Raw genomic sequence first — 16,384 nt, 5'->3', positions numbered from 1 at the left:
GTAAATTTGGACAAAAGTATACATTGTGTATCCACCATCACACTCATGCTGGAGAGCAGTTCCTTTATACCGCCCTCTGCTACAATCCACTGTGACCCTTCCTCAGGCTTTTTTGTTTTGTTTTTGTTTCCCCACCCATCCCCATCAGTTACTTTCTGGGTACTTCTAGCTTTCACCTAAGCCAGCAAGCTCAAAAAGTCTAATATAGGCCTTTGTCTACATGATATGTTAATTTTTTTTATTTTAAGAAAACTTAAAAAATTATTGTGGTAGAACACATAAAATTTGTCATCTTAATCACTTTTTATATGTATGGGTTCAATAGTATTAGTTATATTCACAATGTTGTGAAACAGATCTCTAGAACTTTCTCATCTTGCAAATATGACTCTGCCCATTAAAGACCAACTCTCCTTTTCCCCATCCCCACAGCCCCTGGTAACTACCACCCTACTTTCTGTTTCTATAAATTTGGCTACTTTTGTATTATATACTTTTAATAATAAGCTCAGCCTCTTGTGGTAACTCTCATTTATAGAGTGTTGTTTAATGTCATGCTGTGTTCTGAATTACTAAAACAGATGTAAGCCCTTATATATGGGAAGTTATATATAGAATATACTTGTTATTAATTTTCTTTATAGAATTCTGAAAAAATTATTAGTAGTTATTACATAGAGTATATATAAGGTTTTATTGTTTGTTCTGGATAATAAAACATTAAAAGTATATTCCTTGCTTTCTTGCAATGTATATAGTATTCTAATGGAAGTTGACGTATTAGAAAAGTTTTGTATGTTTGTTTTTGAAATTATAAAAATAATAAAACTACTGTAAATTTGGAAACTGGAGAAGAGACAAATCACTTCTGATCTTACCTACTTCCAGACAACTACTAACTTATTTTAGGCTGCTTCTGTGAATTTTTTGTTTTACTGTACTTAGACTTTTGTTTTCTGATTATCTCTTTTATCATAAGGATTTTTCCATGTGTGTCATCATTTTTGTAACTACTACTTTTAAGTATTATATAATGTTACATTTATGTATATCCCATTCTCCATTTGGACATTTAGTTGTTTATACTTTTTTTAATCCATGCATCTCATATTCTGGATTTAAATTGTTAACTTTTACCATAAATAACTCTAAGAATGGGAAAAATAACCATGAAATAAATGTCCCAAAATGGAAGGAAATAGTGCTGTTAAGATATAGAGCCCTTCTTATGTGGACCAAGGGTATCTTTGTTTCATTTCCCTGCCCTGTGACCGCTGACACCCGCACCCCCCCCCAGTACACACACAGCCCTCGCCACACATACATACATCTAGCTCTAATACCTATTCAGTTATAGAATAAAGAATCGTTTTTACAATGTTCTTTCTCCAGGAAAGAGTCTTCTTTCACAATGGTGGAAGTAAGGATATAAGCCTTTTGCTCTTCCTTTTTTACAGTCTAAATTGCTGTTTGATTCCACTTTGCAGCTTGCATAAAAGTAGGAGTTGGAGAAAGAAAAAATTTCTATTTTATTGGGAAGCATTGTAGGAGGCAAAGGGAAAGAAAAAGTACTCGAGTGATGAGAACAAATTTGAGGTATAGGTGCAGAGCTGTGCTTTTTTCTCTCTCATTTTCATCTTGCTTATGTTACCATCTTTTAGAAAGAAGAATTCAGCTTATCACAACCTCCTAAATCTCCCAATAAATCACCTGAAGTAAAAACAGCAACTCAAAAGCCTTGGAAGCGGGAGCTTTTGTATCCAGGTTCTTCTAAGGATGATGTGATTGAGAAAGGGTAGGTGCAACTTTTTGTGTGTTAAGTGCTTTTCTGCAATACTAAGCGTTTTAGAGAATTTAAAAACTAAACAGAAATTAAAAACTAGTACTTTGATATTTTTACATGGGTTCTTAATTTTCAATGATATGTATTAGAGGCTTATACTTTGCATGAATACTCTAAATTAGGAGTAGAGTTCCAGATATTAGTAATTTTAAAGAGATGATGCCTCTGATCTCCAGCTTCTCAAGACTTCTCTGAGAAGATTGCCCTCTAATTCTTTTTTGGCTCTATTCAATAATTCTATATTTCTCAAATTTGAGAACTTATAAGACTCTCAAGAATATTGTCAAGAATATTGTTACTGACCAGACACGGTGGCTCAGAGCTGTAATCGCAGCATTTTGGAGACCAGGGCAGGCAGATTGCTTGAGCCTAGGAGCTTGAGACCAGCCTAGGTAATATACTGAGATCATGTCTCTACAAAAGTTTTAAAAAATTAGCCGAGTGTGGTGGCACGTGCCTGTAGTATCAACTACTCGGAAGGCTGAGGGATAAGAATCACTTGAACCCGGGAGGCAGAGTTGCAGTGAGCCAAGGTCATTTCACTGCACTCTAGCCTGGGCGACAGAGTGAGGCGCCATCTAAAAAAAAACAAAAAAACAAAAAACGGTATGAAGGGTTTACCAGTGTCTTTGACTCTCGTAAGCAAAGCCTCAGGAAAAAGCAGCCTCAAATGCCGAAGTCACCTCTGTGAATTCTTATTCTCTGGGTTTTGGCTGAGTTATTCTTGACTACATTGTTAACACGCAGATGCCTTTAAGCAGATTTATTTTTGTAAGTTTTTTCAGCTTATCTAGTTGCCTTCTACCTGAGATTGATCCAAATCACCTTCTCTGCCATTTCCAAAAGTAGCAGTTAATGAGCTTTTGTGGCATTGACACTTTGCTTGCATTGTATAAATTAATTCTTTTTTTTTTAAATTGCAACACCGTTCTGAAGGCACATGTATCTGCTAATTCTTACTGGATCCCCATGAAGAAAGCATTATCATCATTTTTCAAGTGATAAAACAAGTGAAAAGACATATAGTCATGAGTTGACAGAAAAGCTGAATTTTGAAAACTATACATTGTTACGGCTAGAGTATTACAGTGAAAAAGCAGGAGATGAGCTGAAAAGTGAGGTTCAGAATGCTATTTCTTATCTGTCATATTAAAGAATCTGGAGATTATTCTCTATGAACTCAAGAACAACTGGAGAGTTTTTTGTGTGTCATTTACTGAAATTGTTTTATTCTTAAAAATTAGAAATATAAACATAGTTCAAAAATAGTGGCATGCTATACACTTGTTTTGTGCCTTGTTTTTTTATTTTAAATTTTTATTAAAATATCTTAGATTTTTTCCATAGCAGTGATTGTGCTATAGCAATAGATATACCATAATCTATTTTGATTCTTATTCTTGTCATCTTGCCTCCTCCTATGTCTGCTTCTTTCATTTTATACCATACTTTGCATTTGTACTCTATTGATGGACGTGACATTGTTTCTATTTTTTTCTGTTACAAACAATGTTATAGTGGATATTCTTATACATTGCTCTATTTCATATATATATATATCCCCATAAAGAAAACATTATCTTCATTTTTCAGGTGATGAAACAAGTGAAAGGACATACAGGCATGAGTTGAGAGAAAAGTTGAATTATTCAACATTAATTCAACAATTAATATTGTTGAATATATATATTATATATCATATATATTATAAATTCCTAAAAGAATTTTTGAGTCAAAATTCATGTGCTTTTTAAATTTTGCTAGATAATATCAAATTGTCTTTCATAGGAGTTATAACAACTTATACTTCCTTCAGCTTGTATAAGAGTGCCTTTTTTTAACCATTCCTTCACCAACATAGTATGCATTACCCTTTCTAAACATATATTTTAAAAACAGTATTTCTTTTGACTGAAGTTGAACTTTTAAAAAATCTGTTTAAGAACTATTTCTACATTATTTTCTGTGTATTTGTTATTCTCAGAAGGAGGAAAAGCAGGACTGGAGGAGGCAGATGATTTTAATTTGGGGTGCTTCCTAGGTGAATGCTCCGGGGTATAGTACAGTATCTGGCACATAGTATGTGTTCAATTAATATTCGTTGAATGAAGGAATATAGAGCCTAAGGTAGTCTTTTTTTTTTCTTTTTTGTTTTTTTTGAGTGTCTCACTCTCTTGCCCAGACTGGAGTGCTATGGCGTGCAGCCTTGAACTTCTGGGCTCAAGTGATCCTCCCACCTCAGCCTCCCAAGTAACTAGGACTACAGGTGTGTGCCACCATGCCTGACTAATTTTTTTTTTTGTAGAGATGGGTTCTCTCAATGTTGCCCAGGCTGGTCTTGAACTCCTGGCCTCAAGCAATCCTCCCACCTCCCAAAGTGCTGGGATTACAGGCATGAGCCACCAAGCCCAGCCAGTACTCCAGGGATGAGATGAAACTATGTTGGGTTTCCGTTTCTCTACATCCGAATTTTTTGTGTGTTGACAATGTGAATTTTATCTCAATAAAAAATGTAAAACTACATTAGGATATATATTGGGATATACATGTTCAAAACAGTTGAAATCTAGGTTTGGAGCCCAGGAGAGAGATCAATTACAAGTAGAAAATCGAGGAAGCATTACACTTCAGTGGGTAGTTGAAGCTGTGGGCATGGATGAGATGATCATGAGAGAGAGAAGGAGCAGTATATAGTGAGAACTAAGTTATCAAGGTTTACAGTAAAGGCAGAGAATAAGGAACTTGAAGAGAAGACCAAGAAAAGATAATCCGAAAAAAAAAAAAAAAAGAAAGGGTAATCTGAGAGATGGGAGATGTACAAATAAGGAAAGAGTGGTGTCACAGAAGCCAAAGGAAGGAAGAATTTTAGGCTGGGCATGGTGGCTCATGCCTGTAATTCCAGCACTTTGGGAGGCCGAAGTGGGTGGATCACTTGAGGTTAGGAGTTTCAGGCCAGCCTGGCCAACATGGTGAAACCCCGTCTCTACTAAATATACAAAAATTAGCCAGGCATGATGGCTCACGCCTGTAATCCCAGCTACTCGGGAGGCTGATGCAGGAGAATACCTTTAACCCAGGAGGCAGAGGTTGCAGTGAGCCCAAATCGTGCCACTGCACTCCAGCCTGGGCGACAGAGTGAGGCTCTCAAAAAACAAACAAACGAACAAACAAAAAAACCAGAATGAGCAGAATGAGTTGGGAAGTGTCCCCTCCCCTTCTAATTTTGTAAGAATTTGGGAAGAACTGCATATTAGTTCTTCTTTAAGTACTTGATAGAGTTCACCAGTGAATCCTTTTGGGCCCAGGCCTTTTATTTGTGTGGGGAGATATCAAATTATTGATTTAATCTCTACTTGTTATAGATCTATTCAGGTTTTCTTTCTTTTTGAGTAATTTTTGGTAATTTGTGTCTCTCTAGGAATTTGTTCATTTCATCAAATTACCTAATTTGTTTGCATATAGTTCTTCATTCCTAAGTATTCCTTCATAATCCTTTTAATTTCTGTAAGGTTGGTATTGAGGTATCCTCTTTTATTCCTGATTTAAGTAATTTGAGTCTTCTCTTTTTCTTGGTTAGTCTAGCTAAAGATTTTTGTTGTTTTTGTGGTTTTTTTTGTTTTGTTTTGTTTTTTGTTTTTTTTTGAGACAGAGTCTCACTCTGCCCGGCCTGGAGTGCAGTGGCGCAATCTTGGCTCACTGCAGCCTCCACCTCATGAGTTCAAGCGATTCTCCTGCCTCAGCCGCCCAAGCAGCTGGGATTACAGGTGCCTGCCACCACGCCCAGCTCATTTTTGTATTTTTAGTAGAGACGGGGTTTCACCATGTGGACCAGGCTGGTCTCAAACTCCTGACCTCACGTGATCCACCTACCTCAGCCTCCCAAGTGCTGGGATTATAGGCGTGAGCCACCGTGCCCAGCCACTAAAGGTTTCTCTTGGTTAGTCTAGCTAAAGGTTTTTGTTCTCATCAGAAAGAGTATTTTTAATGTGAAGACTTGAGTCTGTTGATATGCCTAGAATAGAATCCAGAGGAAATGGAGAAGCTGAAGATATATGAGAAAAAACAAAGGTCTTCATATTCAAAGGAGAATAGAGGGACAGGTTCAAGAGCCAAGGGAATTAGATTAACCACGGGCAGGAGGTGGGGCGCTTCTTCCTGAGACAACATGGAAAGAAGTAAGGATGGGTACAGGTGGATATGTTTGTTGTTCATACCAAGAATGATTTCAGCTGTAAATACCAGAAACCTAACTAGCAATGGCTTAGATGAATTGACCTAATTTTTCTTACATAACAAGAAATCCGATAATAGGCAACTGCCAGTGTTGGTACAATAGATCAGAAAGATTAGGGCCTGAATCTTTGTGAGGCTCTTGGCCTTTCCCTCATGGTCAGCAGTGTTGCGGCTCCTAATATCAGGCTTTCAAGTCAGAATGGAGGAGGAAGGGCAATTTCCATTAACCCTCTCCCTCTTGTCAGGAAAGCAAGCTTCCTCAGAAGCTCCCTAGCACATTTCATTTTGTATCTCATTAGTCACAACTGTGTCTCATGGCTATGTCTCGCTGCAAGGGAGTCTTAGAAGGTTAATGTTTAGCTTTTTCAGGATCTCAGTGGTACTGTATATAGAAGCATGCCATTCGGCTACATGAGGAAATGGAAACTGAAGCATGTTGTACATACATTTTGTGTGAGAAGAACCTGCAAGGTAATCTGCTGGTGGATTGGAATGGAGGAATATTGGCAAGGTAGAATAGGCATGTTTTATGGAGCAAGAAAATAAGGCTTTAGAATAATTGCAGTGTGGGTGTGGGAGAGGGAGCTGGATAAAAAAATAGAAAAAGATAATATCCAAAGTCATTAGTCTAACTCCAAAGTCTTCCATTATGTCACCCCAAACTAATCTATATAATTCCCTATGAATCTCACCTCTGTGAGGATTAAATATTATAATATGAATTATATCTAGCACAGTGTTTGGTATGTAGTATATAATGTTCACTTTTTAATGTTAGTGTCTTCCTGCCCTAAGCAAATTATGTTTGCTGCCTTTTAAACAAGGATTTCCATACCTACCTTCATTTATTGCTCACTATTTTCCTATCTAAAGAGCCCCTCTAAAACACATTAAAATTTTTTTAATTTTATTAAAACACAAATAAATATTTTATTTTAAAATTACTAATATAGGTTGAAGGAATTTCTCATTCTTGCCCTCTCAAAATATTTATTATCCATCCCAGTCATTTGGCATCTATAATAAACCATCTTGAATTCATCTAACCAGCAGTTATTTTGAGAATTGTCTTTCTGTATAACTATGACTCATTTTCTGAACCACCACTTTAGGGCTAGAACGATGTTTATCCTTTTTTTCCTGAGTCACATTGCTCAGAAGTACTCTTGAGATTCGGTGCTATGTATACCAAAAGTGCTCAAAATTTGTTTGTTGATCAGTTAGTTCTCATTCTTATAATTTTAGTTCTCATCCTTATAATTTAGGTCAAAGTACATGTCAGAAAGCAGCAAAGTCATTCATTTAACATCTTTTACTGACATTTCTGAATGTCTCAAGCCCCAGCTGGATAGAAGATACGCTTATACAGAAGAACCTAGGGTGAGTGTTTTGAGGACTGAATAAACCTGATTCTTCATTTAACTGATCAGTATCTCCTGATTTTAGAGAATTTGTATTGATTTATCATAATATTTTTTCTTTACTAAGCAACACATTTGATTTTTTTCCTTGCCAAAGGATTTTTACACAAATATTTCCTCTGTGTTTTTCTTTTGTAGTACCATGGTTCTATATACTGCATTGATTACTGTTTTCAAACACAATGGTGTTCTGGTTTTGGTATGATGACACTTGAAAGAAAAATAGTATTTGATGTTACATTTTAGAAGCCTAGAATTTTTTTTTTTTTTTGAGATAGAGTCTTGCTCTGTTGCCCAGGCTGGAGTGCCGTGGCATGGTCTTGGCTCACTGCAACCTCCACCTCCCTGGTTCAAGCAATTCCCTGCCTCAGCCTCCCAAGTAGCTGGGACTACAGGCGCACACCACCACGCCTGGCTAACTTTTCTGTATTTTTAGTAGAGATGGGGTTTCACCATGTTGCCCAGACTGGTCTCGCACTCCTGACCTCAGGCAATCCGCCTGTCTCGCCCTTCCAAAGTGCTGGGATTACAGGCATGAGCCACCGCACCCAGCCAAAGCCTAGAATTTTTAAAGGGCAGGGTGTTTCCATGGTACAGCTACCCTGATAATGTGGATTTAATGCACTAGTTCTAAATGAAAACTTCATATTCCCTAAGGATTATACTTTAGGTAGAAACCTTGGCAGTCCTAATACAGTCTGAACACTTAGCTATAATTTTGCATAACTATTTATTTTATTCTATGCAAATAGTACTCCATTTCTTTTAACTGTTTTTTTCTACTAAAATAATGATTTTTTTTTTAGTTTGTAATGCTGATAGTTAAACATAGTAAAAACATTAAATTCTCACTTCAGAATTTGTTTAGCAGGCAGATAGAGAGGTGGAGAAATGGAGAGACAGTAGGACAAAAAGAGAGTGAGAACCTTACTTAAACCCTAAATTTTTTATACCATTATTGTCTTATTATAAAGAAGTAGTCTATGAGTTCTATAAAACATATAGCAAAGAGTTAAACTGAATAGTAGATGCCCTTTCATATTCTGAAGTCACTCCTGTGCTTGGAGAAATAGCCAGCTTTCTGTGTTTCAAAAATTGTATGAGGATTGCCAGCACTGTTGGCAGAGAAGCCTATAAACAGCAACATTTTATGAGAACTTACACTGCCATTTACACTGTGCAGGCCATGACCTATACAGGGTGAGACTGTCCAAGAGGGACCCCCTAAGGATAGTTAATGAGCAGCACCGAGAGGCCTTGGAGATAGTTCTCATCATAACCCTCTGTAGCTATAATAGCAGCACTTCAAGGCTAAAATAACATTAAATATGCATGAAAGAGGCCACCAACAAGGATTTGGAATACTCCTAAAATGGTCTTACTTTGCCTGAAACATGAAAATAATTGAGGCTGGGAAGTTGCTTCAACATTATGTTTAAAATCAGATTGGTTTATAATAGAATATATTCTGTGGCTATAGTTGGGCTCCACAAATGAATCTTATATGACTCTCAAATGCAAACATACTGCATTAATTACATATATGGTACAAAAATAAAATAGTCCAGTGGGAAAATGACAGCATGGTAGAGTTTATGAAATCCTGTTGTGTAATGCCATAAAAAAATTACAATGTTTTTGGGTGGATAATAGACTTCTGTTTTGTTATCTAGGTTAAAACCGTGTCAGATGTTGGTGCCTTGGGAGGATCTGACATGGAAAATTTGTTGCAATCTTTGTATGTAGAAAATAGAGCTGGATTCTTCTTTACTAAATTCTGCGAGCATTCAGGGAACAAGGTAGAAAAGAATTATTTAAAATTTAATTTTATAATTTTACTTCATTTAAAAATGAGACATCAAAATAATTAAGTGCTCACATAATTATATTTGATGTTAAAATTCCCATCTGTGATAAGAAAATTCATATTTAATATTTAGTAAATATTTAAGCATCTCAATTATAATTCTTTTGCTCATCCTACAATTACAAATTACATTGAATAGTGGCAACATTATTTCCAGTTGGTTTTTCAAAATTTAAAAAAAAAAAATCAGTCTTACTTTTGCTCAAATGAAAAGTATTGGCCAGGCGCGGTGGCTCATGCCTGTAATCCCAGCACTTCGGGAGGCCAAGGTGGGTGGATCATTTGAGGTCAAGAGTTCGAGACCAGCCCGGCCAACATGGTGAAACCCCATCTCTACTAAAATACAAAAATTAGCTGGGCGTGGTGGTGCATGCCTGTAATCCCAGCTACTCGGGAGGCTGAGGTGGGAGAATCACTTGAGCCTGGAGGCAGAGGTTGCGGTGAGCCGAGATTGCACCACTGCACTCTAGTCTGGGTGAGAGAGTGAGACACTGTCTCAAAAAAAAAAAAAAAAAGTATTTAACTGGTTCAATTACTAGAGTAATGTTTGGTTCTGCTGTAATACACATTGCCCATATATATCAAAATACATGGCTACTCTTTAACTGTTAACTAGAATACTTACCATTTTAATGACTAATTATGTGAGAGGCATACATGCAAAAATATAATCTTCCAGCAACAATATCAATAAATATTTTGTGTATTGCCAGTTTGTGATAGAAGATTAAAACCATCTTAAATTGAACCTGATTTATGGTAACAGCAAGGAGCTAAACAGTTACTTATATTTGAAATTAGAGCTTTGTAAGAGTTTTAATAATTGGGTGGTAATAATTTATGTACTTTTTCCATCTGTAGTTGTGGAAGAACAGTGTGTACTTTTGGTTTGACCTGCAGGCTTATCATCAGCTTTTCTACCAAGAAACACTTCAGCCTTTTAAAGTATGCAAGCAAGCGCAAGTACGTAGTAAATAATATTGGTTCAATGTGAAGCACTAAGTACACAGAGAAATGAAAATTGTGTCCAGTCCCAAACGAGAAATCTGGGATCGCAGGCAAAAAGGCAGCAATTAAATTGTTGCCATGGGATTACTGTATTTGAAATCAGCAAAATATTGTTTTATAATATGATTTGTGAGTTTTCAGTTTTATGTCTTTTATTTGGTTTGCTTTATTTTCTCTTGCCAACTACTTGTTCTTCTGATAAAGAACATCTCTCTCTCTTTTTTTTCTAATGTATACCTTTTTGGTTTGGTTTTGAGTGATTTAAAAGAAGACCCCGAGAATGGACATGTAATGAATCATTGAAGTGATGGGGAACAGAGACATTGACCAATGTTGCTCTCTGAGCTTCCTGCAGATATCAGCTGTTGGACATACTAGGCTGTTGACTTGGTATAAGCAGGAAAAGATGTTGACTGACTATGCAGTGCAGGCCCCATGTAGTTGTTTAGGCTTCTGTTCTACATGTCATAGGAGACAGACACTCAGGGAGTGGAGGAAAGAATGTTTCAAGACCACCCTGAAGCCAAATAGAGGAGGAAAGAAAAAAAAAAATAGAGGGGGAAGAACAGAGGATTCTCTGTAAAAGGAGACAGAATAGCCTCTTTTGTGGGGAAGAAGAAAAGGGAGCAGAATTGTGACTCAAGCTGACTTATTTTTGCAGTTTTTTATTGTCAGGCTCTTCTGATCTTTTATGGAGACAGGTCTCCAAGCCTAGAAAAGTGCTAATCACTTCTATATCTGTTCACCACTTAAGTGATTCTTACAATCCAGAATAACTGCATTCCAGAGGACCTCCCCCTGAACAATGCTAAGGAAACTAGCTTCATCATTTTATTTATTATCTTATAATCTTATTTGATGTATCATAGTGTACCGCTGGATGTTCACTGTTACTTCCCCCACCCTGACTCTGGCATTAATAACTATGCTTTGTAAATCAGCTGACAGAGCTTTGTACTTTTTACTGTGAGATTAAGGGCTTCAGCCCCTACATAGCCCATATCTGTCTCCATGAAATCATGAAATTATATCTCTAATTTACTAGCACCATTTCTGAGACCACCCAGTTGACTATTCTGTTTGTTAATCCTTTACCTGTAATTCTCTATAACCTTTTGCCCTAATCCTCCTAAACTATTGCCCCTGTCTGTTCAAGTACCATGCATTATTTTTATTATGTTTTCACTACTACAAAGAGTATTCCTCCAAAAATCTTCAGCTGCCCAATTGAGTTTTTTTCTTAATAATTTTCATATTTCCATGACCTTGTAAAAGAGGAAATTCTATTTGAGCTTGGTTGACTTGTTAATTATTAGTAATAAATGATTGTAAAACCACACAGTTTTGGTTACTTGAAGGTGGACTATTCTGTTTTGGGATTTTCGAGGTCTGTAAGGTTTTTATCTTCTCCTAGGTTCTCTTTTGGATAGTTAAAGCAGGGTGAGAGGAAAACAATGGAGACATTTGCTTTTAGGAATGAAGAAAGATAAATAAAAAAGCAGATCTATGTGTTTGTTGTTTTTTGACATACTTGCTCTTTGCATCTATAGTTATTTTACTTTGTCTTACTTTTTTATTTATTTACTTTTTTAGAGGCAGGATCTTGCCCTGTCACGCAGGCTGGAGTGCAGTGGAGGGATCATAGCTCACTGCAGCCTTGAACTCCTGGGCTCAAGTGATCCTGCTGCCTCAGCCTAAGTGCTGGGATTACAGGCATGCACCACCATGCCCAACTTTATTTTTTTGGTTACAGGAGCAATTGTCTAAATTAGTTTAGGTTCTAATTATCCCAGGTTTCTGTGACTTAAGATACAAGAACTGCCTGTAATACTATAATCCTAGAGATTCATTTTATGGTATGAAATGCTGTTCGTTTCTTTATAATAGATATATGACTCTCTTCAGGGGTAAATTTTCAATTTAGATCGTTGGATTGATAATGCCAATGGCACAATACAATAAGCTGGACTATGTAAAAATTGCTATGGGCCAGGCGTGTTAGCTCATGCCTGTAATCCCAGTACTTTGGCAGGCTGAGGCAAGAGGATTGCTTGAGCCCAGGAGTTCAAGGCCAGCTTGGACAACAAAGTGAGACCGCATCTTTATAAAAAATTTAAAAATTAGCCAGGCATAGTGATGTGCACCTGTAGTCGTAGGTACTGAAGAGGCTGAGGTGGGAGGATCGCTTGAGCCCAGGAGTTCAAGGCTGCAGTAAGCTATGATTGCGCCACCACTCTCCAGTCTGGGTGGCAGAACAAGACCCTGACTCAAAATAAATAAATAAAGTTTCTATGAACTTGATTTTATATTGTTTTCAAGTTTCTGCCAATTCGTGTGCTAGGAGACTGAGATTTGATTTCAAGAGACTTACATGATTTTCTGTACATAAACGCTGAAGTTTTATTGCCCCATGAACTATTGCAGAAATATCTTTATTCAGACTAGATGGGGAAGGGTATATCAGTAACAGTGATTAGCATGACTAAAGAGTCCAAGAGTTTGAAGTACTGTCTTGGGTACACCCTGAAGATTTCACCACATGGCTTCAAGATAGAATAGTACACAGTTGGAAACCAATTTAAATGGTGTTGGCAAGGAGAAAGGGAATTATCACCATAGTGTAGAGACATCTTTGACCCTAGCGACAGCTTGCCAAGGAACCATATACCACTACTAAGATTTGGAGACCAGATTGTTACTGTAGATCGTTCTACAGTTTTTTTTTTTTAATTTGGAGATTTTTCTTTTATTTCAATTTTTTTTCTTTTTTAAAATTGTTATTATGTTTTAAGTTCTAGGGTACATGTGCACAACGTGCAGGTTTGTTACATAGGTCTACATATGCCATGTTGGTTTGCTGCACCCATCAACTTGTCATTTACATTAGGTATTTCTCCTAATGCTATCCACCCCCAGCCCCCCACTCCACAACAGGCCCCAGTGTGTGATGTTCTCTGCCCTGTGTCCAAGAGTTCTCACTGTTCAATTCCCACCTATGAGTGAGAACATGCAGTGTTTGGTTTTCTGTCCTTGTGATAGTTTGCTGAGAATGATGGTTTCCAGCTTCATTCATGTCCCTGCAAAGGACATGAACTCATCCTTTTTTATGGCTGCATAGTATTCCATGGTGTATATGTGCCACATTTTCTTAATCCAGTCTATCATTGATGGACATTTGGGTTAGTCCCAAGTTTTTGCTATTGTGAATAGTGCCACAGTAAACATACATGTGCATGTGTCTTTATAGTAGCATGATTTAAAATCCATTGGGTTTATACCCAGTAATGGGATCGCTGGGTCAATGGTATGTCTAGTTCTAGATCTTGGAGGAATTGCCACACTGTCCCCCACAAGGTTGAACTAATTTATACTCCCACCAACAGTGTAAAAGCATTTCTATTTCTCCACATCCTCTCCAGCATCTGTTGTTTCCCCTGGCTTTTTAATGAACGCCATTCTAACTGGCGTGAGATGGTATCTCATTGTGGTTTTGATTTGCATTTCTCTGATGGTCAGTGATGATGAGCATGTTTTCATGTGTCTTTTGGCTGCATAGATGTCTTCTTTTGAGAAGTGTCTGTTCATATTCTTTACCCACTTTTTGATGGGGTTGTTTGTTTTTTTCTTGTAAATTTGTTTGAGCTCTTCGTAGATTCTGGATATTAGCCCTTTGTCAGATGGGTAGATTGCAAAATTTTTCTCCCATTTTGTAGGTTGCCTGTTCACTCTGATGGTAGTTTCTTTTGCCATGCAGAAACTCTTCAGTTTAATTAGATCCCATTTGTCAATTTTGGCTTTTGTTGCCATTGCTTTTGGTGTTTTAGACATGAAGTCCTTGCCCATGCCTATGTCCTGAATGGTATTGCGTATGTTTTCTTCTAGGGTTTTTCTGGTTTTAGGTCTAACATTTAAGTCTTTAATCCATCTTGAATTAATTTTTGTGTAAGGTATAAGGAGGGGATCCAGTTTCAGCTTTTTACATATGGCTAGCCAGTTTTCCCAGCACCATTTATTAAATAGGGAATCCTTTCCCCATTTCTTGTTTTTGTCAGGTTTGTCAAAGATCAGATGGTTCTAGATATGTGGTGTTATTTCTGAGGCCTCTGTTCTGTTCCATTGGTCTATATATCTGTTTTGGTACCAGTACCATACTACTGTAGACTTGGAGTATAGTTTGAAGTCGGATAGCGTGATGCCTCCAGCTTTGTTCTTTTTGCTTAGGATTGTCTTGGAAATGCAGGCTCTTTTTTGGTTCCATATGCACTTTAAAGTAATTTTTTCCAATTCTGTGAAGAAAGTCATTGGTAGCTTGATGGGGATGGCATTGAATCTATAAATTACCTTGGACAGTATGGCCATTTTCACAATATTGATTCTTCCTATCCATGAGCATGGAATGTTTTTCCATTTGTTTGTGTCCTCTTTTATTTCGTTGAGCAGTGATTTATAGTTCTCCTTGAAGAGGTCCTTCACATCCCTTGTAAGTTGGATTCCTAGGCATTTTATTCTCTGTGTAGCAATTGTGAATGGGAATTCACTCATGATTTGGCTCTCTGTTTGTCTGTTGTTGGTGTATAGGAATGCTTGTGATTTTTGCACATTGATTTTGTATCCTGAGACTTTGCTGAAGTTGCTTATCAGCTTAAGGAGATTTTGGGCTGAGATGATGGGGTTTTCTAAATATACAATCATGTCATCTGCGAACAGGGACAATTTCACTTCCTCTTTTCCTACTTGAATACCCTTTATTTCTTTCTCTTGCCCGATTGCCCTGGCCAGAACTTCCAACACTATGTTGAATAGGAGTGGTGAGAGAGGGCATCCTTGTCTTGTGCTGGTTTTCAAAGGGAATGCTTCCAGTTTTTGCCCATACAGTATAATATTGGCTGTGGGTTTGTCATAAATAGCTCTTATTGTTTTGAGATACATTCCATCAATACCTAGTTTATTGAGAGTTTTTAGCATGAATGGCTGTTGAATTTTGTCCAAGACCTTTCCTGCATCTATTGAGATAATCATCTGGTTTTTGTGATTGTTTCTGTTTATGTGATGGATTACATTTATTGATTTGTGTGTGTTGAACCAGTCTTGCATGCCATGGATGAAAAGCCAACTTGATCATGGTGGATAAGCTTTTTGATGTGCTGCTGGATTTGGTTTGCCATTATTTTATTGAGGATTTTCGCATTGATGTCAGAGATGTTGGTCTAAAATTCTTTTTTTGGGAGGATTCCCTCTGTTTCTATTGTTTGGAACAGTTTCAAAAGAAATGGTACCAGGTCCTCTTTGTACCTCTGGTAGAATTCAGCTGTGAATCCATCTGGTCCTGGACTTTTTTTTTTTTTTGGTTGGTAGGCTATTAATTACTGCCTCAATTTCAGAGCCTGTTATTGGTCTATTCAGAGACTCAACTTCTTCCTGGTTTAGTCTTGGGAGGGTGTATGTGTCAAGGAATTTATCCATTTCTTCTAGATTTTCTAGTTTATTTGCATAGAGGCGTTTATAGTATTCTCTGATGGTAGTTTGTATTTCTGTGGGATCAGTGGTGATATCTCCTTTATCATTTTTAATTGCATCTGTTTGATTCTTCTCTCTTTTCTTCTTTATTAGTCTTGCTTTGGTCTATCAATTTTGTTGATCTTTTCAAAAAACCAGCTCCTGGATTCATTGATTTTTTTGAAGGGTTTTTTGTGTCTCTGTCTCCTTCAGTTCTGCTCTGATCTTAAGTATTTCTTGTCTTCTGCTAGCTTTTGGATTTGTTTGCTCTTGCTTCTCTAGTTCTTTTAATTGTGATGTTAGGGTGTCAATTTTAGGTCTTTCCTGCTTTCTCTTGTGGGCATTTAGTGCTATAAATTTCCCTCTATACACTGCTTTAAATGTGTCCCAGAGATTCTGGTACATTGTGTCTCTGTTCTCATTGGTTTCAAAGAACATCTTTATTTCTGCCTTCATTTCGTTATTTACTCAGTAGTCATTCAGGAGCAGGTTGTTCCGTTTCCATGTAGTTGTGTG

General features: G+C 37.1%; 1 protein-coding gene across 15 annotated transcripts in view; it reads left to right on the top strand.

Moving 5' to 3' along the window:
* Positions 1-16,384, top strand: part of RGS22 (regulator of G protein signaling 22) — a 145,114-nt gene that overhangs the window by 56,792 nt on the left and 71,938 nt on the right. For 13 of the 15 annotated variants that reach the window (NM_001286692.2, XM_017013310.3, XM_017013309.3 and 10 more), the window contains 4 exons: positions 1,662-1,795; positions 7,342-7,456; positions 9,171-9,296; positions 10,226-10,327. In NM_001286692.2, coding sequence (NP_001273621.1) covers positions 1,662-1,795; positions 7,342-7,456; positions 9,171-9,296; positions 10,226-10,327 — 477 coding nt within the window. Of the gene's footprint in view, positions 1-1,661; positions 1,796-6,459; positions 6,548-7,341; positions 7,457-9,170; positions 9,297-10,225; positions 10,328-16,384 lie in introns of those variants that run through there. The other 2 variants (XM_024447121.2, XM_047421682.1) reach the window with 2 other exon arrangements.

The sequence above is a fragment of the Homo sapiens genome, chromosome 8, assembly GCF_000001405.40.
Source record: "Homo sapiens chromosome 8, GRCh38.p14 Primary Assembly".
NCBI classification, from domain to species: Eukaryota; Metazoa; Chordata; class Mammalia; order Primates; family Hominidae; genus Homo; species Homo sapiens.
Note: the sequence above shows the minus strand (reverse complement) of the source record. Positions and strands in the feature narration are given on the sequence as shown.